Here is a 22,947-nt window from a genome sequence, read left to right as displayed (position 1 = left end):
TTTATGTTTGCTGGAAGCTATTAGACTGTACCCACCAGATTAAGGGTGGATCTGCCTTCCCCAGCCCACTGACTCCAATGTTAATCTCTTTTGGCAACACCCACACAAACACACTCAGGATTAATACTTTGTATCACTCAATCCAATCAAGTTGACACTCAGTATTAACCATCACATGTATAGTATGTATGTGTGCACTGTTCAAACAAAAACCTCCTCAATAACAACACTTTATAATATGTCACACTTTATTTTAATGGAATAAATGCTGCCCTTGCCTTCCAAAGATGATTGTTGGTATTGTATGGGTGAAATGACATGAGGCCTATATTTTTCTTTAAAATACGTCAGAAGATTAAATAAACTAAACTTATAAACTAAACAACCTCAAACTAGCAGAGGCTACACAAAATTTGTTGGTCGAGTGGCAGGAAAAATCTGAGAATAACAAATATAAGCAGAACCCAGAAACACTTTTCCAGAATAAAAGAATAAATGGAAATAATGGGCATTACTCTAAGCATTTATGAGAAAGAGAGAAGGTTGGGGGGCATCCATTAGAGAGCTGGGGAAAGTGAATATAAAACCTATTCTCAGATCTAAAGATTCCCCAGCCCCTTCTTCTCTGTATTGAATTCTCGTACTTATGATTGTCTTTAGAAAATCTAATCATTATGATTGGCTAGAAAAAAAATAAATTAGAACTGCTGCATCTACATATGATCTTCCACATAAAATGCTGAAAACACTGCTGCTAAACATAACAATTTTGGATTTATAAAATATAAAACAAAAGTCTATTTTAAGGCATTAGAAAGCTCATGAAATGAGGAACACAGAGGCAAAGGTTTTGAAGAAGTGAGAACATCAAAGAGGTATGCTGAAATCGTGAAGCTACATTGCTCCTGGGAATAGTTTCTATTTTTTTCATAGAGACAAAAAAGAATGGTGTATAGAATGAAAATTTGAGTTTTGCCTTACAAATAAATGTCCATGGTTCAAGAAAGTGGGGAAGGTTGGTAATGTGAAAATAAGTAATTCAAAATCTATGCTGTTGGAACGTTAAATTATTTTGAGCCTTAACAAAGTATGATTATGGGGCCTGAGTCACCTGACAAGTATCTGTAACCTAGGCAGTTGTAACCTTTGTCTCTCTAATTATGAATTAGCCTTTTTCCTTACTTACATTATTTTGGAAAATGTTGTAAATGACTAAAGGGTGCCAGGGAAGACTCCTTCGCCCTTCACTGTTGATCTTCATTATATATTATCTTTCATTTTACCCAACTTACACAATGATTTCATGAATATCACCTCATCTTAAGATGAAATGTTAAATACAATCTTTCAAATTAAAAAGAAAGCAAGCTGCAGTGAAAATAAGACAAACTGTAACTTATTAAATTGTTATATTTCATAAACCAGCCAAGTATAGAAAATGTATAATCCTACTAAATATTTTTGTTTTCGGCCTATATAAGCAAGACCTTGACTTTTAACTTTAGAGCACTGATCCCATTTCTGTGGGGTATGTTTTTTTCCTGATGGGTATCCCCAGCTCTTCTCTTGAATAAATTCTTTAAACCTGGATTATGATTTTGTTTTAATCATTTCAGGTTGATAGTAGTGAACCCAAATCAGAAAAGAATGTGGAGGGCTATGTCTCATAAACAGGTGATTAAAAGGTAGACAGAACCCAGGCCTAAACTAACTTCGTCTCTAATTAGATAGAAGTGATTCAGCAACACTTTATTGTTCTAGAACAAGAAAGAGTATATCACCTCCAGGGGAAGACAATATTATCTAGATACCGTATAATTTTGGATATGCAATGGTATATCACTCAAAAAATGCTAGATATTGCAAAAAGAAGATCATATGAATGAAAAGAAATAAAAAGACAAATTAATGGGTAATCCATATATTGGAATAGTAAAAAAAATTTTAAATAACTTATAATTATGTTCAAAATATGAAATCAAGGAGAACATAGATAAGAACATGAAAAATCTTATGAGAAAATTGGATTCTATAAAAAGCAATCAACAAGAAAAATATCTGGAATGACAGAATAAGGACTTGTTAAAGTCTGCTTCTCCATAAAAAAAAAAAGAGAATTTTGAAAAAAAAAGAGTAAAAACGGACTTTTCCAGAATTTCAAGTTAAAGATTTACAACAATCCAAAAAAAGCGGTATTAAAAATAAAATGGCTGAATCCTGGTAAGATTAGAAAGCTTTGTGATGTTTAACTTACCCTAAACTCACCTGTCCCCAGTTCTGCAGTAGCCATAAAAAACAGAAGAACAAAAACTTTACAACAATGGTGGTTTTGGAAAACAGCAGCCTGCTAGTCATTGGAGGAGCAGAACGTATTTAAATCGTGATGAAAATGGTCATCTCTCAGATAATTATCACTATTCACCTGTTGGCAGCTCTCTGAAAATGCCTTATTCTCACAGATTGTTTTTATTTGACCTTAGAGTTTCCTTTATGCAAACAGTCCTGTCTTCAGTGCATTTGTAGAAAACAATCAATGACAACTGTTTAACATTAAACCTGCTTGAGGTGGCTACAACAGCTGTTGCTAACAAGATGCTAGCTGAAACACTTGAAAGAAGTAGTAGGAGAATAAGATTTCCATAGAAAGCTTTGTAAAGCTCTGATTTACTCCTGAGAATGTAGAATACTGCACACATGTTCAGGGCTGTGTACATGACCAGCAAAAGTGTGATTTTTTAAAAACTGATGCATAAGAGATATACATAGTTTTGGGCTACATGTGACAATACATTTATATAAGTTTTAAAGCTCAAACCTTTGTACTTTGGGATATCTATTACCATAAATATTTGTTTTTTCTTTATGCTGGAACTACTCAAATTATTTCCTCTAGCAATTTTGAATTATATAATAGATAATTAGAATCTATAGTCACCCCACTAAACTAAGTTTTATTTCTTCTATCAAACTATATATTTAAGCCAGTTAAAAAATCTGTGAAACATGTGAAAAGACACATCACCAAAGAAAGTAGACAGTTGGCAAATAAGCACATGAAAGACATTCAACTTCATATGTCATTTATGGAATTACAGATTTTAAAAACAAGATACCTAAACAACTATTAAAACATCTAAAATCCAAAACACTATAATACCAAATACTGAAGAGGATTGAAGCTACAGACATTCTAATTCATTACTGATGGGAATGCAAAATGGTACAGCCACGTTAAGTTGTCAGTTTCTTACAAAGCTAAGCACATCATCATGTGATGCACCATTGGTTCTCATTGTTTTACCCAAATGAGTTGAAAACTGATGTCCACACAACAACCTGCACATGAAGGTTTATAGCAGTTCAACAGGTGAAGGGATCAATAAACTTTGATACACCTATGAAATGGAATATAATTGAGCAATAAAAAAATGAGCTACCAAGCCATGAAAATACAATGAGGTACTTTAAATGTATATTGCTTTGTGGAAAAAGCCAACCTGAAAAGGCTGCATACTTGGAAATGTAGCAGTGATGGTCACTCCTGTGGCCATCTTGGTTTGGGCTGACTTCTTTACTGCAAACTGTTTTATCAGCAAGGTCTTTATGACCTGTATCTTGTGCCAGCCTCCTGTCTCATCCTGTGATTTAGAATACCTTACCCGTCTGGGAATGCAGCACAGTAGGTCTCAGCCTCATTTCACCCAGCTCCTTTTCAAGATGGAGTTGTTCTGGTGTAAAAGCCTCTGACAAAACAATACGGACAATTACAAGGTCAGTGATTGCTAGAGCTTGAGGGGAGAAAAAGAGATAAATAGGTGAAACACAGGATTTTTAGGATAATGAAAGGATTCAATTCTGTATGATACTGTCATGGTAGATACATGTATATTAACCATGTTTTCTAGTTTTTGAGTCTGATATTTTGACACCTGGGGTCTTGTTGACTAGGACAGTACTGCTCTCTTAGGGTTAACAGATTCCTGGAGAGAGTAAGGAATTCTCCTGTGTGCCTGTGCTTCATATGCAAACTAACGAATTCAGAGCCCATACTCCCCACCCACTAGCTTTATTGGGCTATTACACTTGTGACACTAGTTCCCTTCCTTGACATCAGATCCCTTCCCTAGGCATCAGACACCTAGAGGCATCCCTTATACCTGAGATACTGGTGAAATTATTTAAACTATCCAATCTTAAACCTCATTATCCTGTTTACACTGCCTCCCCCATTTCTTCCCACAAAAATCATAAGACTTTCAAGCAGTTTGCCTAGCTTTCCCTCTCTGCCTGCAACTGAGTTTGGTGTTCTCCCCTGTGACCATACCTTGCTTACCTTCCTCTTGGGAACTGTAATAAACTGTCTTTTTAATAGCAATCATCTACTGATCTGCTGCCCTCACCACATCTCAGTAAAACCAAAATCCCAGGAACACTTTAATGCAACATGACACAATGCATTTGGCAAAACCCACAGAACTACACAACTCAGAGTGAACTCTAGTGTAAACAATGGACTTTGCTTAATAATGATATATCACTTTTGTATCATTAATTTCCACAAATGAGCCATACCAATGTAAGACATGAACAATAGGAGAAACTATAAACCAGGAGAGGGAATTCTGTACTTTTTAAAAATTTTTCTGTAAATCTAACTTTAAGAAATAAAATCTATTAATTTTTAGAATTAGATCTATTCTTAGAAATAGACAATCTAAGAAATGGGAGAAAATATTTGCAATTAATATCTTCAATAAAGAACTTGTATGCAGGAAATAAAAGACCACTTACAACTCAAAGTTTAAGACAAATAGTCCAATTGTAAAAGGGCAAAGCATTTAAATAGAAGTATTTTTCAAAGTAGACAAACAAATGGCCAATAAACACATGGGAAATGCAAATCATTAGTCATTAGAGAAATGCAAACTAAAATCATATTGAGGTATCATTTCATATCCAATTGGATAGCTAAAATCAATGACTATATAGAAAATAACACGTTGAGGAAAGGATATAGAAATATTAGGTTTGGAGCAGTGGCTCATGCCTATAATCCTAGCACTTTGGGAGGCTGAGGCAGGCAAATTGCCTGAGCTCAGGGGTTCAAGACCAGCCTGGGAAATGTGATGAAACTCTGTCTCTACTAAAATACAAAAAATTAGCCGTGTGTGATGGTGTGTGCCTATAGTCCCAGATACTTGGGAGGCTGAGGCAGGACAACTGCTTCAACCCAAGAGGCAGAGGTTGCAGTGAGCCGAGATAGCACCACTGCACTCCAGCCTGGGCAACAGAGTGAGACTGACTCCAAAAAAAAAAGAAATACTAAACTATGTGTCATTACTAGTGGCATAGTAACATGTTAACAGCCATTTTGGAAAAGAGTTTTGCAGTTCTTCACAATGTTAAAAATACAGTAAGCATACTACTCACCAGTTGCAGTCTGAGGTATATATCCAAGAGTACTGAAAATATATATTCAAAGAAGAACTTGCACACAAATGTTTATAACAGCATTATGCATAATGCTGAAAAGTGAAAATGTTCCAAATGTCCAATAACTGTTAAATAAATATAATGTGATATATCCAAACAGTGAAATATTATTCAACAATAAAAAAGAAGGAATTGTTGATACATACTGAAACAAAAATGAACCTTGAAAATATGTACACTGTATTGTACAGTTTAAAAGGATAAATTTGTGGTATGTGAATTATATCTAAAAGCTGTTATTAAAAAGAGCATCAAATAAAAATTCTAGAAGTAAAAATGGCAATGACTAAAATTTAAAAATAGATCACGTTTAATAGTCATTTATTGAAACTTTTTCCTATTGAAATGGCCTCGTTGTCTGGAGTGATACCTGAGGTTCAGTGTTCCACAACCATGGAAAAAAAGGACGTGGACACACAAGAGTAAGGTAAAGAGTGGAAGTTTAATAGGCAAAAGAAAGGAAAGAACTCCCTCCTGCAGAGAGAGGGGTCCTGAACGGGTTGCCGGTTTCGGTTTCGGGGTGAAATGCAGGGGGTTTTAGAGATAAGCTTGAGGAGGCGGTGTCTGGTTTACATGGGGCGTGCAAGATTGGTCAGATCAGGTGTGTTCTTTGCATGAGGAGTGAGATACTGGTTAGGACTAGGTGTGCCATTTGCATAGGGCATGAATTTCTGGCCTCCCCCAGCCTACACTTTTATTATGCAGATGGGTTCGCTGCCTGGCTGGTACCATGTTGCCCATTCCTTTACTGTACACGTGGTAACAAAAAAGGGAAGATGGAGCCTCCATGTTGGACATGCCTGGCCACCAGGTAGCTCTTTTCTATTGGCGCAGCTGCTGCATTCCCTCATGCAAGCTTCCGGCTTCTCTATGTTCGCATTTCCATTTTTCAGGCTGCTCTTTGTTAGGAGAAAAAAAAAAAAGTGCTCGAGCTGCTTTTAGTTAGAAGGGAAGCATTGCCAAGGACTCTTTTACTTTCACTATCTGCCAAAATAATTTATTTCTATCTCCTGTATCGCTATGAGATCAGGAACTAGACAATACCTAAAATTCTCCCACCCTCTCCCCTGCCTTTTTTCTTTCAAAGCTCTACTGGTGTTCTTTAAATTAGGCCAAAGAAATGTAAATCATAAGGATTAAAAAGGAAAAAAAAAAAAACCCTGTGGCTATTATCATAAAACATGATTATTACATAGTAAGATAAAATAATCTGTAGTCAGACAATTAAAACTAAATAAGTGCAAATGTCATATGGATAAGTGGTTAAGAATTAGAGGGGATAAAAATAAGAGAATAGAGAGGAGAACATGAAAAATAAGTTCATTAGTTCCTTTAGGTAGTATGCGAGAATAAATACAACATTTTAAACTGACAAATTAATAAGAGTAATCATATTCAATAAAATAGCATCAAACTATTATTTGCTACACAGAATCAGGAGGAGAAAACAAGCAGAGAGAAAGGAGCGAGATGTAGTAAGAAAATGTTGTTGATCATAATAGGTAACCAAGAGATATGGCAAAAATCGGTTAAATGTTTGTGTTTATTTGTGAGTGTATGTGTGTGTGTGTATGGGAGGTGAATATATTGTTAAGATACATTATATGATATTAGGATAAAATATATGTTAGGATATAAGTAATATTATATATAGACATTAGGATACATACATATAATATTAGGATAAAAGTAGCCATGATAACAAATATATAAATGGTCTCATATTTAGAAATACAAGCAAACAATAAAGAAAAGATATGATATATGACATAGAGAATGTGTTTTTATTTACATATATTATTTTAGATTTACTTTTTATTTGCAAATCCATACATTAAAAATAAGAAAATAATATGACAAAATTTAAAACCAACTTTTAAGTTATATCAGGAAATGTAAATTGACTTAAAAGGAAAAAAAATTTTGAATGAATTACAAAGTCAAATTTAACTGTATGTTAAATATAAGAGACATATCTAAAGCAAAAAACTCAGAAATAATATGCATAGAAAGATGGGCAAAGATATGTCAGACAAATGAAAATCAGAATGAAGACAAGATCATGATAATTGGATCACTAAAGGTAGAATTAGACCCACAAAAAGAAATTTCAAAGTTTGAGAGGACATTTTATATTGATATAATAGCTATGAACTACACAGCAAACAGTGATTTTACAAGGCAGAAATTACAACACTTCCAAACTACAGAAGACACTCTGTAACACAATCATCACTGAAAGGATGTTCTCAAGGAACCTGGATTCCTTGAGAAAGTGGCTGATTCTAGGTCTGGGAACAGAAAAAAACCTAGATGACCCTGCAACATTTTCTCAGATGAGAAAAAAATGAAACTTTCAAAAGTTAACAGGGTCGTGTCAAGTAGACACAGTGGAACTTTATTAATAAAGTCTTGATTGAAAAAAAATTATTTGGAAAAAGTGAGGATTAAGTATAAGAATTCTAATGAACTGACACACATAGAAGTATGAATGAAAATTATGGAATCTATATGATACTCAGAAAAAAGAACAAAAGAGCAGGAAAAATGGTATGTCGCTATTTAACATGACTATTAAAATATCTTCTTAATAAAAACAATATCTAAAGGAAAAGTATTAAGTATTTATTCTGGCTTTCCAGTAGGAACTTCACTGCAGTATAACTGAATTCCTACATCAAAGAAGCATCAAATATTCTGATACCATTTTATGTATAATGATATGCATAATAATACCATTCCTTCAAGGCATGTGGATCAAAGAGCTTATAGTTATGAGTTCTAGTTTAAATTGTAAGGTTGGCAAAACTCATTTAATCTGTTCCCACAATCAGAGACTTCCCAATTGCGATAACTTTTCTTCGTCCCTGCTAACCTGTGCCTACTATTCTCCTCTCTCTTTTTAAGGAGGAGGGGGATTACAAAACCGTGGATCCACACAGGCATCTAAGAGCTAACTACTTAGACAATTAACTGGTTTTTGTCTTACTTCTAAAAGATGAAATATCAGCAAAGAAAAACATTCAATAATAAAATTTTAAAGTATAAATACATTTGGAAAGTTGGGAAATACTCTATTAGGATGTAAATGGCCAGAAAAAGAGGTCTGTACTGGTATTTCTATTCTAAAATGAATTTATTTTCACTAATATGAAAAAACAATAAAGACTATATTTTTAATGAATTTAAAGGTATTATGTTTTCTCTCTTTTACCCATGTCAATCATTGATGTATTTCCCAAATTGCTATTCTCCTCAACTGTTAGATAAATATCCCTACCTTTTAAAGCTGTATATAACAGCTGGAAATTCTCCCCAGGTAAGATCTGACTAAAATGAGCTTAAGACAAAAGAAGCATATTGGAATTTTGTTTCCCATATGCCTCACTGTTATGAACAACTAGGAGAATTGATTTAATGAGAAGAAAAAAACTTAGGCAAATTAAACATAGTGAATATCAATCTAGTAAAAATAAGACAGGCAAATCGATAATGACAGTAGTTAAGGCAGTCAGCTACGTTTAATGGCTAATTTAGGACCAAGTCAAATTGTAGAGGAGACTAATGAACCATAATGCAAATCATACAATACAGTGAAAGTTGCAAAACATGTGCAATTAGCACACATGTTGGGGACATCAGTCTGAGATTCCTAAATATAATATGAAGCTGTTGTCAAGAGAAGATTGGAAACTGGACTTGAATGCCCAGGTATGCAGCTAAATCATCACTTCAAAACAAACAAACAAAAAAAACCCATCAGGTGGAAAGTAATCCAATCAGGCAAAATCTTGTATCTCTCTATCCAGGACTGTCACAAAATAAAATTATATCTAAAAATCAATCACTTGACTCAGAACTGTGTTTTTAACAGTATGTGTCTCATAATAGGATAGATTGACAGTTGCCATGCTGAATTTACAAAGGGAAATAGAAGTTGATCATATTAACTGTGAAGCTTCTATTTAAATAATAATTACATGTGGGTCTTTAGTGACAACCCTCATCCTTAGTAAAATTGGTTTAGTTTTGTTACTTCATCCAGTGACCACAAGATCCAACTAGCTTCTTCGGACCCTCTCTCTACCACTGCTTTTTGACCCTCTGAACATTTCATAGGGTTGTGAATATACTATATTGTTTGATTAGTAAGCGTACTCTAAGTTGTAAAAGACAAAACAAATTTGAACTAATTTAAGTTAAAAGAAGATAGGATTATATTAAAGGATCAGTAGAGTGGAAGTGAGGAATCTGGGACTGAATGCAATTGTCTCAATTCTGTGAAAACTATGAGGCTGGAAACATGAAATTAGTTATTTCTGGACTCACACATTCTCGGCTTCACCTCCTCTGAAAAACCTCAGGGAAAAATCTCTGATTAGCTTTGAGTGAAGAAATAACTAAGAGAAAAAGAATTTAGAAGTTTGTTTTCAAGAAATGCAAGATTGTCAGACTTAGAAGGACTAAATAATGAAATAGAAAACACAAGATGTGTTTCAATGTTTTAAAAAACACATTATTACCAAAATTATAAAGCTTGCTGTTAGTCTATTCAAGTTTGAAAAAAATTCTTATGGGAGCTGGGAGTGATGATAAACTCCTATAATCCCAGCTACTCAGAAGGCTAAGGCAGGAGGGTCACTTGAACTCAGGAGTTTGAGGTTGCAGTAAGCTGTGATCATCCCACTGTACCGCAGCCTGAGCAACAAGTAAAACCCTAACTCATAAACAAAACCTGATCATTATTATATTTTCAGAGGAGGTGATATGTCTTCAGATATCAGCATTTAAAAAGTCAGTGATAAAATACTTTCCTTGGAGAGTCAATAACGTTATAGGAAAGGCTCAGAAATCAACTGAGTTTGGGAGCTGGAAAAAAAAAAAAAAACCTGTTATGTTTGGAATATCTCAGAATGTAAAGTGCACCCTATCCACCTACTACCAAGGGATATGCTATTCACACTTATTCCTAATGTTGGCAGAAAATGTGTTAGTTTTGTTCCCACGTTCTCTACTTTTCAAGTTTCTGTCCCTAAAACATAGATTTAATCCCGTAAGTTTGTTCTGTAATTTTGTATATAAAAATCATCAATTTTATACTTTATTTGATCAATTTTATTTGCATAGGTGTGACAAAAGGTGTTAATTCACAAAGTTTTTTTCTTTTTTTGCTTAGCAAAATTAGAGCCATATCCTATTAATTTTCAGAAATTAAAACTGTCTAGAGACCTCATATGATCCCTATGCTTATAACTCTACCCTACACATCAGAAATATTTTCTTTTTGTGATTATTGGCTCATCAACTGAGATCACGAACAAAGAACAATTCCGTTCACCTCATTTGGGTTATACTATAGTAGCTGTAATTTTATCAAACTTACAAACACTCTAGCAGAGTTTTCTTCCTATCTCATCTGCTGTGGTTTGAGTTTGCCACACCAAAGCTCATGTTCAAATTTAATTCCCAACCTGGTGGTGTTGGGAGGTGGGGCCTAGTGGAAGGTATTTGAATCATGGAGGTGAATCCTGCATGAGTGGCTTGGTGTGTTCTTACAGTAAGTGAGTTCTTACTCTGGAGAGAAAAGATTAGTTCTCTTAGGAGCAGATTAATTTCCATAAAAGTGCATTGTTAAAAAGCAAGATTCCTCCTTCTGTTCGGTCCTCTTTCTTTACATTTGTTCACTTCTCTGACCTTATCTGTCATGTTACAATGCAGCACAGAAACCCTCACCAGAAGTGAGGGACATGCTTTTGAACTTCCCAGACTGTCAAACCATGAGCTAAATAAATTTCTTTTCATTATAAATTACCCAGGCTCAGGTACTGTGTTACAGCAACACACAATGGACAAAGACACATTATATCTTATTCTCTTCCATTGCAGACCAGTCATACTGTGGGTTAATTTAGGCCTACAACTTTGTTTTATTAATGGCTTGTCAGCATTCAAACTTACTGTTAATTCTTGACTTCACTAATTTTTTGTTTCTCTGGGACATTTCTCAGAGGCCTGACAAATGGCAGTGAACATACCTCTTTGAGATCCTGATTTAAATTGTTTTGGATATATATATATATCCAGGGATTGTTAGATCACATAATAATACTATTTTAATTTTATGAGGGAATTCCATACTTATTTCCATAGCTACTCTGCCATTTTACATTCCTACCAACAGTGTAAAAAGGTTTCAATTTTTCTGCAATCAAATTAACACAAATCACAGTTATTACCTTTTTAAAAAACTAAAAACCATCCTAACAAGTGTGAGGTGATATCATTTGATCTGCATTTTCCTTATGACTAATGCTGTTGAGTACATTTTTATAAACCTATTGACCATTTGCATTCCTTATCAGATATACAGTTTGTAAATATGTTCTATCAACCCATAGTTTGCTTTTTCACTCTGTTGATTGTGTCCTTTGATGTGGAGGAGCTTTTGAATTTGACAGAGTCCCATTTTACTTTTTCTTTTGTTTCTTACTGCTTTTAGTGTCATATCTATGAAATCATCGCTGAGTTCAATGTCATGATGATTTCTCCCTGTTTTTTTCTACGATTTTTACATTTTCAGGTCTTCGGTTTAAGTCTGTAATTATCTAAGTTGATTTTGTGTATGGCATAAGATAGGGGTTCAATTTCTTTTCTTTGAGTGTGAATATTCAGTTTTCCAGACATCATTTGCCAGAATAATTTTCTTGTCTTTATTGTATATTCTTGTTTTTTGCTGAAGTTTAGTTGACTGTATGTGTGTGCGTTATTTCTATTTCAATTATAGCTGGGTTTAATTTCTGGGTTATTTCTATTTCAATTATAGCTATTTCTATATCAATTATATGTCAATTATACCTCAATATAGCTAAAAACTGTTACTTGGCTAATACATCTTCTCTCATTTCATGGTAGATTTGTTTGTCTTTAGTAAATGCACAGATTATGAGCAGAAATATATGATTAACATACCTCAGAGTTTTCAGAGAGAGAGAGAGAGAGAGAGTGGCAGACAGACAGGCAGAGAGGAAGAGAGAGAGCAGGTCATGCATGTGTGAGTTAGAAAATTGGTCATATACCCAAAAGTAGTACAATTATAAACAGACCAATATAAAATATTAATGGAGGCCGGGCATGGTGGCTCATGCACGTAATCCCAGCACTTTGGGAGGCCAAGGCAGTCTCATCACTTGGGGTCATGAGTTTGAGACCAGCCTGGCCAAAATGGTGAAACCCCATCTTTACTAAAAATACAAAAATTACCCAGCCGTGGTGGTGTGCACCTGTAATCCCAGCTACTCAGGAGGCTGAGTCATGAGAATTGCTTGAACCCAAGAAGCAGAGGTTGCAGTGAGCTGAGATCATGCCACTGCACTCCAGCCTGGGTGATAGAGTGAGACTCTGCCTCAAAAATAAATAAATTAAAATAAATTAAAAAATAAAATTTTAATGACCTTTCTATTGTTAATAATTTTTTTTTCATTTACACACAGCTGTGTTATTAACATCAGACTTAACAACAATCATGAATCAAAAAGGCACAACATGCACAAAATCACTGCTTGGCTGTGGTAAAGATCTTGAAGATACACATCCCATTCTCCATTATAGCAAGTACTTTGTATACCTGTATATATACATACACTTAGTTATCTGAGCTCTGCTTGGCAAGAAAATTATACCATACTGAAGATAGAGGTACAACAATCCTCAAGAAAAATAAATATATAATTTAATAATCCATAAAATATAACTGGATAATTTTTATTTTATGCTACCAATTGACATCATCCCATAGGCTGTAAAATCAGATCTCCAGATATTTGTCACCAATTGAATGGACATGCACAAATCAGAAACAGGTACAGAACCAGAACTAGACTTTGCTAAGAAAACTAGACTCATTCTGGAAAAAGAATTAGAAAACGTTAGAACGCTTTGAGTCAAAAACTAATGACCACATGGGACTGTTTTGTATCTTGGCTGTATCAATGTCAGTATACTCACTGTGATATACACTACAGTTTTGAAAAAGGTTATCTTTGAGAGAAACTGAATAAAGGGAACATGGGCTCTTTGTATTATATCTTACAACTATAAATGAATCTACAATGATCTCAGAATAAAACTTTAACTTAAAAGGTAAACAATCAACAATCAGCCACAAAGGCAGAGATAGTAAAACTGTCCTACTACTGTGTGTGTCAGAAAAAGGATCCATCCTGTAAACAGCTTCCAAGGTGTTCTTCTTGGTTATCACAATTTATTCAGCTCTTGTTAGCCAGTCCCTCTCACCATGTCATGGTAGAAACTATGGCTGTGAAAGGAATAGACAGTAGGAAAAAAAAAAAAAAAGCACAACAAAAATGTTGGGTTCTGTCTTCCACTTAGTATGTAGAAAGCTGGAAAGAACACTGAATCCACTCTTAAAAGCAAAAATAATGCCAGATAATCTGCAAGTTTGTTATTTTTCTAAGGTCACAGATTAACAACCTAAAATCTAAGTGAAGACTGGCGTTTCCAATGAGACAAGGGAGATGAGAACTTGATTACTTGTGTCTAACTCCAGCAGGTATCAGTAAAAGAAATTCCATTAAAAATTTTAACATATTGCTAAAGACTGAATGAAAACTAGTGAGAAAAATAGAAACTGATGGTCACATAAACAAGGGAAATTTACATCTATTCATAGACTCTTTTTCATATACCAAAACAAGTGCTGACAAATAAGATTGACAAGATTCTTAAGAAGGCCTCCCTTGTCATGTAGAACTTGGAAAAGAGAAATAACAGCTGCTATAGGATAGGTATGAAACTCTGTCTGGGTTCTTTCTCCTTATCTCATTTATTTCCAAAAACTTTGAGCTGCTTAAAGAAGACCACCAAAAATTACTCTTGTGAAAACCTATTGCGGCTTAGGGAAGAGAATAGCCAAAAAAATAAAAATAAAAGACCTTATCCAGGGACTAGGGTACATCTGTTCTGTAGGTGCTCCTGCCCACCAGCCCCTCCCAGGTCCCCTGTCTGGCCATCCTGCAGGAGCATTTGCACAGAGCAGCCCCTGCTACTCAGCCTGGGTGTTTTGCTTCACCTGATTATGTTCCCAGTGGCCTGGGAGTACTTCAGATCCCCCATTGCATCCAGAATTTGACTTGGAGGGTCCAGAGGATGAAGCCACCAGTCAATCGTGGAGGCCCAGAACTGCTAAGCTCAGGAGTACCAAGCTGGTATCTGTGGCTGGCACTTGAGCAGGAAAGGACCCCACACTCTCACAGCACTGAGAGGTGTCAGATGCATAGGTTCCTAAGTTGGAGTGGAAGCTGGGCATGCCTCTCCTCACAAGTCCAGCCAGGAAAGGGTGTGGCCTATTTCCCTGACTTGACCTCTGCCCAGGGAGCCCCATTGCCCAGATACCTAACAATGAAAAAAAAAAATACAGGTGCACTGCCAGTGATGGGAGGGGAATCCCCCCAGGCCCAGGAGCAGACTAGGTGAGGGGGTCATCTTGCTTTCCACAGCATAGCAGAGCATGGATGCAAATGAATCCATGGATAAGGATGGATGAGGAAATAGAGAAGCTGACAGATAAGAGCCTACCAACCACCCATTACTCTTAAGTGCCATCTACTGGATTACAGCCCAAACTACAACACCAAAAATATTTTGCTAATATATCTCCCTGTGAAACCAAAGGCAAGAATTCAACCACTAATAAAGACCCTGTATAGAGCTTTGTCCCTCTGAAAACATCCAGAAATAAAGCTAATTGACTATACTCAACTTATACCATAGTTAGAAAAAACCATCCCCTTCCAGATTAGAAAGAATCAGCGCAAGAACTCTGACAATTAAAAAAAAAAAAAAAAAAAAAAAAAAAACCAGAATGTTCCCTTACCTTCAAATGGATCCATTAACTCCTCAGCAATTGTTCTTAACTAGTCTGAAATGACTAAAATGACAGACATGGAATTCAGAATCGAGATGACAAAGAAGCTTATTGAGATTAAGAAGAAAGTTGAAAGACAATAGAAGGAATCCAAGGAATACAGTAAAACAATCCAATAACTGAAATGCAATATAACCATGTTAAAGAAGCAAGCCAAATTTTTAGAGTTGAAAAATTAACTACAAAAATTTCATAATGTAATCAAAAGTATTAAGAACAGAATAGAACAAGGTGAGAAAGGAATATCAGAGCTCAAAGCTCAGTTCTTTGAATCAATTCAGTCAGACAAAATAAAAATATTTAAAAATGAACGAAACTTTCCTGAAATATGAGATTATGTAAAGAGACCAAACCTATGACACATGGTATTCCTGAGAGAGAAGGAGAAATAATAAGCAACTTGGAAAATATTTTTAAAGAGATAGTTAACAAAATACTCCCTAATTTCACTGAAGAGTTTGACATGTTAATTCAAGAAATACTGAGAACCCTGGCTAGATACTGTAAAAGATGAGCAACCCCAAGGTACATAGTCATCAGATTCACTAAGGTCAATGCAAAAGATAAAAGCTTAAAATCGGCTAAAGAGAAAGATCAGGTCATATAAAGAGGGACCCTCCATCAGGCTGGCAGCAGACCTCTCAGCAGAAACCTTACAATCCAGAAGAGATTAGGTGCCTATTTTCAGCATCTTTAAAGAAAAGAAATTCCAAACCAAGAATTTCATATCAGCCAAACTAAGCTTGATAATTTAAAGAGAAATAAAATGCTTCTTAGATAGGCAAATGCTGAAGGAGTTCCTTTCAACTAGATCAGTCTTACAAGATGACCTTAAGGGAGTGCTAAATATCAAATTAAAATAATGACACCTGCTACCCCAAAAACACACTTAAGCACATAGCCCACAGGCAGTATAATGCTAATACACAACCAAGTCTACATAACAACCAACTAAAAATGCAATAACATGATGAAAATCTCACACATCCATACTAATCCTGAATGCAAATGGACTAAATGCCCCCACTTAAAATACATAGAGTGGCAAACTGTAAAAAAAAAAAAAACAAGATTCAACCATCTGCTGTCTTCAAGAGACCCATCTCACATGTAACAACACCCACAGACTCAAAGTAAAGGGTTGGAGAAAGATCTATCATGCAAACAGAAAATTAAAAAGAACAGGAATCATTCTTATATCAGAGAGAATAGATTTTAAAATGATAAAAAATTAGGACAAAAAGCCATTATATAATGTTAAAGGGTATGATCCAAAAAGAGGACTTAACTATCCTAAATATATATACTCAACATTAGAGCCCCAGATCCATAAAACAAGTTGTTCTTGCCCTCTGTGAAGACTTAGCAGCCACACAATACTAGTGGAGACTTACAACAGCCCACTAACCATGTTAAACAGATCATTGAGGCAGAAAATTAAGAAACTCTGGACTTAAACGCAACACTAGATGAATTCGACCTAATAGACATCATCACAACAATCCACTGAAAAATCACAAAGTATACATTTTTCTCATCTGCACACATTTTAGATTGGTATTTTAAGATAGGTATTTTAAGATTGACCACATATTTGATCATAAAGCAAGTCTCAATAAATACAAAAAATTTTAAATCATAGCAAGTACACTCTAGGACCATAGTACAGTAAAAATAGTAATCATTAGGACATCTCTCAAAACTGCACAAATATACAGAATTTAAATGATCTGATCCTGAATAATTCCTAGGGAACTTCAAAATTAAGAAAGAAATCAAGAATTTTTTAATTAATGAGAACAAAGATACAACATATTGGAATCTCTGGGACACTGCTAAACCATGTTAAGAGGAAAGTTTATAATGCTAAATGCTCATATCAAAAACTTACAAAGATCTCACAATAACCTAATATCACACTTAAAGTATCTAGAAAACAAAAAGCAAACCAACCCCAAAGCTAGCAGGAGAAAAACAACTAAAATTAGAGATGAAATGAAAAAATTGAGATGCAAACAACCATACAAAAGATTGATTAAACCAAGAGTTGTTCCTTCAAAAAAAAAATGATAGCTAGATTATCAAAAACAGAAGAGATCCAAATAGTGCAATGTTAAATGACAAAGATGACATTACAACTCATACCAGAAAACTACAACAGATCTTCAGAGAATACTGCAAACAACTCTATGCACATAAATTGTAAAATTTAGAGGAAATGAGTAAATTCCTGGAAAAAATACCATCTCCCAAGATTGCATCAGGAAGAGATTGAAACCCTTAATAGACCAATATTGAGTTCTGAAATTGAATTAATAATAAACAACCTACCAATCGAACAAACAAAAATCCATTAAACAGATGGATTTAGAGCCAAATTGTATCAGGCTTACAAGAACTGATACCAATCCTATTGAAACTATTCCAAAAAATCAAGGAGGAGGGGCTTCTCCCTAAGTCAATATATGAAGCCAGCCTCAACCTGATACCAATATCTGGCAGAGACACAACAAAAAAAGGAAACCTTAGGCCCATGTCCCTGATGTACCTAAACACAAAAATCCTCAGTAAAATACTAGCAAAATGAATCCAGCAGCAGACCAGAAAGTTAAAACACCACGTTCAAGTAAACTTTATTCCTTGTTCAACATATGTAAATCAATAAATGTAATTCACCACATATACAAATCAAAAGCAAAAATGATATAGTCATCTCAATAGATGTAGAAATAAGTTTTGATAAAATCCAGTATACCTTCACGATAAAAATCCTCAATCGACTAGGCATCCAAGGAACATACCTCAAAAAAATAAGTCATCTATGACACATCCACAGTCAAAATCATTTTGAATAGCTAAAAGCTGGAAACATTCCCCTTGAGAACTGGAACAAGATAAGGATGATCATTCTTACCACCCCAATCAACATAATACTCAATATTCTAGTTAGCGCAATCAGGCAAGTGAAAGAAACAAAAGGCATCCAAATAGGAAAAAAAGAACTCAAATTATCTTTCTTCACTGATAGTATGATTCTATAGCCAGAATACCCTAAAGACTCTGCCAAAAGGTTACTAGCATCGATAAATAACTTTATAAAATTTCAGGCTACAAAATCGATGTATGAAAATCAGTAGCATTTTTATACACTAGTAACATTCATGGGAGAACCAAATCAAGAACACAATCTCATTTACAATATCCACAAAGAAAAGACCTGGGAATGTATCTCACCAAGGAGATAAAAGATTTCCACGAGGAGATCTACAAAACAATGGTGAAAGAAATCAGAGTCAACACACACAAAACATGGAAAAACATTTCATGCTCATGGATTATAAGAATCTATATTATTTAAATGATCATATTGCCCAAAGTAATTTATTGATTCAATGCTGTTCCTATCACTCTACCAATGTTATTCACAGGATTAGCAAAACTATTCTAACATATAAAAACAAAAAAGAGCCCAAATAGCCAAAGCAATCCAAAGCAAAAGAACAAAGACAGAGGCATCACACTACCTGAATTCAAACTATACCATAAGGCTAAAATAACCAAAACAGCATGGTCCCAGTACAAAAACAAACACATAGACCAATGGAACAGAAGAGAAAACTCAGAAATAAGCCATCTGATCTTCAAGGCAAACTAAAACAAGCAATGGGGAAAGGACTTCCTATTCAAGAAATGGTTCTGGGATAACTGGATACCTATATTCAGAAGAATGAAACTGCTTATCTTTCATTATAGTCAAAAAATTAATTCAGGGTGAATTAAAGTTTTAAATTTAAGATCTAAACTCTAAAAATCCTAGAAGAAAACCAAAAAATACCCTTCTCAACATTGGTCTTGGCATAGAATTTTTGGCTAAGTCCCCAAATGCATTTGCGACAAAAACAAAAATCAACAAGTGGGACCTAATTAAACTAAAGAGCTTCTGCACAGCAAAAGAAACTATCAAAAGAGTAAACAGACAACCTACATAATGAGAAAAAATACTCACAAACTATGCTTCTGACAAAGGTCTAATATCCGGAATCTATAAAAAACAAATACCAAGTAAAAAACATGAATAGATGTTTATCAAAAGAAGACATAAGAAGCAACAAACATATATGAAAAAATCTTCAATATCATTATCAGAGAAATACGAATTAAAGCCACAATGGGATACCATCTCACACCAGTCAGCATAGCTATTATTAAAAAGTCAAAAAAGAACAGATTTGGTGAAACTTCAGATAAAAGTGAACACTTATACACTGTTGGTGGGAATGTAAATTAGTTCAGCCACCTGAGAAGGCAATTGGTTGACTTCTCTACAAACTTAAAAAGAACTATCATTTGACCCAGCAATACCGTTACTGAGTATATACACAAAGGAAAATAGATCATTATATTGAAACAACACACATACTCCTAGGTTCATTGCCACACTATTCCCAACAACAAGACATGGAATCAATCTAGGTACCCATCAATTGTGGATTAAATAAAGAAAATGTGATACATATATGCCATGCAATATTACACAGCCATAAAATAGAAAAAAAATCATATTCTTTACAGCAACATGGATCTAGCTGGAGGACATAATTCTCAGCAATTTATACATGAACAGAAAAACAAATACCACATTTTCTCACTTACACGAGGTAGCTAAACATTGAGCACACATAGACATAAACATGAAAATAATAGACTTACATGGTTTGGCAGTGTCCCCACCCAAATCTCACCTTGAATTGTAATAATCCCCAAGTGTCAAGGGTGGAACCAGGTGGAGTTAATTGAATGATGGGGGCAGTTCCCTCATACTGTTCTCATGGTAGTGAATAAACCTCAAAATATCTGATGGTTTTATAAATGGTAGTTCCTCTACAAAAGCTTGCTCTTGCTTGATGCCACGTAAGACGTGTCTTGCTTCCCCTTCATTTTCTGCCATGATTGTGAGGCCTTCCCAGCCATGTGGAACTGTGAATCAATTAAAACTCTTTCCTTTATAAATTACCCAGTCCTGGATATGTCTTTATTAGCAGCATGTGAATAAACTAATACAGTAAATTGGTACCATTAGAGTAGGGTACTGCTGTAATGGTACCTGAAAATGTGGAAGTGACTTTAAGACTGGGAAACGGGGGGAGGTTGGAACAGTTTGAAGGGCTCAGAAGAAGACAGGAAAATGTGGGAAAGTTTGGAACTTCCTAGTGACTTGTTGAATAGTTTTGACCAAAATGCTGATAGTGATATGGACGATAAAGTCTAGGTTGAGGTGGTCTCAGATGGAGATGAGGAACTTGTTGGAAACTGGAGCAAAGGTAACTCTTGTTACGTTTTAGCAAAGAGACTGGCAGCATTTTGCCCCTGCCCTAGAGATTTGTGGAACTTTGACCTTGAGAGAGATGACTGAGGGTATCTGGCAGAAGAAATTTCTAAGCAACAAAGCATTCATGAGGTGACTTGGATACTGTTGAAACATTTAGTTTTATGTATTCACAAAGATATTATTTGGAATTGGAACTTATGTTTAAAAGGGAAGCAGAGCATAAAAGTTCAGAAAATGTGCAGCCTGAAAAATGTAATAAAAAAGAAAAACCTATTTTCTGAGGAGAAATTCAAGCTGGCTGCAGAAATTTGCCCAAGTAACAAGAAACCAATGTTAATCACCAAGACAGTGGGGAAAATGTCTCCAGGGCCTGTCAGAATTCTTCACGGCAGCCCCTCTCATCACAAGCCTAGGAGGAAAGAATGGTTTCATCCACTGTGCCCAGGCCCTTGCTGCTTTGTGCAGTCTTGGGACTTCGTGCCCTGCATCCCAGCCATGGCTAAAAGGGGCCAACACAGAGCTCAGGCCATTGCTTCAAAAGGTACAAGCTCCAAGTCTTGGCAGTTTACACTGGTGTGGATCTGTGTGTGCACAGAAGTCAAGAATTGAGGTTTGGGAACCTCCACCTAGATTTCAGAGGATGTATGGAAATGCCTGGATGTCCAGACAGAGGTGTACTACAGGGGTGGAGCCCTCATAGAGAACTTCTGCTATGGCAGTGCAGAAGGTAAATGTTATGTTGGAGCCCCCATACGAGTCCCTATTAGGGCACTGCCTAGTGGATCTGTGATAAGTGGGTCACTGTCCTCCAGACCCCAGTAATGGTAGATCCACCAATAGCTTGCACTATGCAGCTGGAAAAGCTGCAGACACTCAAAGCCAGCCTGTGAAAGCAGCCGGGAGGGGGGCTGTACCCTGCAATACCACAAGGCAGAGCTGCCCAATACCATGGGAACCCACCTCTTGCATCAGCATAACCTGGATGTGAGACATGGAATCAAAGGAGATCATTTTGGAGCTTTAAGATCTGACTGCCTTGCTGGATTTTGGACTTCACGAGGCCTGTAGCCCCTTGATTTTTGCCAGTTTCTCTCACTTGGAACATGAGTATTTACCCAATGCCTATACCCACATTGTATCTAGGGAGTAACTAACTTGCTTTTGATTTTAAAGGCTCTTAGGTGGAAGGGACTTGGCTTGTCTCAGGTGAGACTTTGGACTGTGGACTTCTGAGTTTAGATTGAAATAAGTTAAGAGTTTGGGGGACTGTTGGGAAGGCATGATTGGTTTGGAAATAGGAGGACATGAGATTTGTGAGGGACCAGTGGTAAAATAATATTGTTTGGTTGTGTCCCTACTCAAATATCACCTGGAATTGTAAGAATCCCCACGTATCAATGGTGGGCCCAGGTGGAGATAATTGAATTATGGGGGCAGTTCCCCCTATACTGTTCTTATAGTAGTAAATAAGTCTCACAAGATATGATGATTTTATAAATGGGATTTCCCCTTCACAAGCTCTTGCTTGCTCTGCTGCCATGTAAGATGTGTTCTGCTCCCCCTTCACTTTCCACCATGATTGTGAGGCCTCACCAGCCATGTGGAACTGTGAGTTTCTTTAGTTTATAAATTACCCAGTCTCAGTTACGTCTTTATTAACCGCATGAGAACAAACTGATATACAGACACTGCAAACAACTAGAAGGCGTAGGAAGGTAGAAGGAGATGGATCAAAAAACTACCTATTGGGTGTTATGCTCACTACCTGGGTGATAGGATCTATCCCCCAAACCTCAGCATCACACAATATGCCCATATAAAAAAACTACACATGTAACCCCATATCTAAAATAAAAGTTGAAATTTTCAAATAAGTAAAAAAAAATGCTAAGGGAGATCTTATTCTCACACAAAAAAAGATAATCATGAGGTAAGAGTTAATTAGCTTGATTGTGTTAATGATTTCATAGCATATTCACATATAAAACATTACATAGCATACTGTAAATACATATAGCTTTTATTTTTCAATTATAACTTAATAAAGTTGAAAAATACTCATTTTTTAAGATACAATTTCCCTAAAGCATAAACATTTTTTAATGTAGCAGCACTGTATTTGTCTTTATAGCATACATGAATATAATTTAAATTATATTATAATAATAGTGGACTGGTGGAA

At 35.5% G+C, this 22,947-nt stretch overlaps 1 long non-coding RNA gene across 1 annotated transcript in view; it reads right to left on the bottom strand.

Moving 5' to 3' along the window:
• The window catches only part of LINC00587 (long intergenic non-protein coding RNA 587), a 137,873-nt gene that overhangs the window by 10,636 nt on the left and 104,290 nt on the right, over window positions 1-22,947 (bottom strand). Inside the window, exon 4 of the long non-coding RNA NR_103830.1 lies at window positions 3,660-3,743. This is a non-coding gene — a long non-coding RNA (long intergenic non-protein coding RNA 587). The remainder of the gene's footprint in view (window positions 1-3,659; window positions 3,744-22,947) is intronic.

Source organism: Homo sapiens, chromosome 9 (assembly GCF_000001405.40).
Source record: "Homo sapiens chromosome 9, GRCh38.p14 Primary Assembly".
Lineage (NCBI taxonomy): Eukaryota > Metazoa > Chordata > Mammalia > Primates > Hominidae > Homo > Homo sapiens.
The sequence above is the reverse complement of the archived record's forward strand: the minus strand, read 5'-3'. Positions and strand labels throughout refer to the sequence as shown.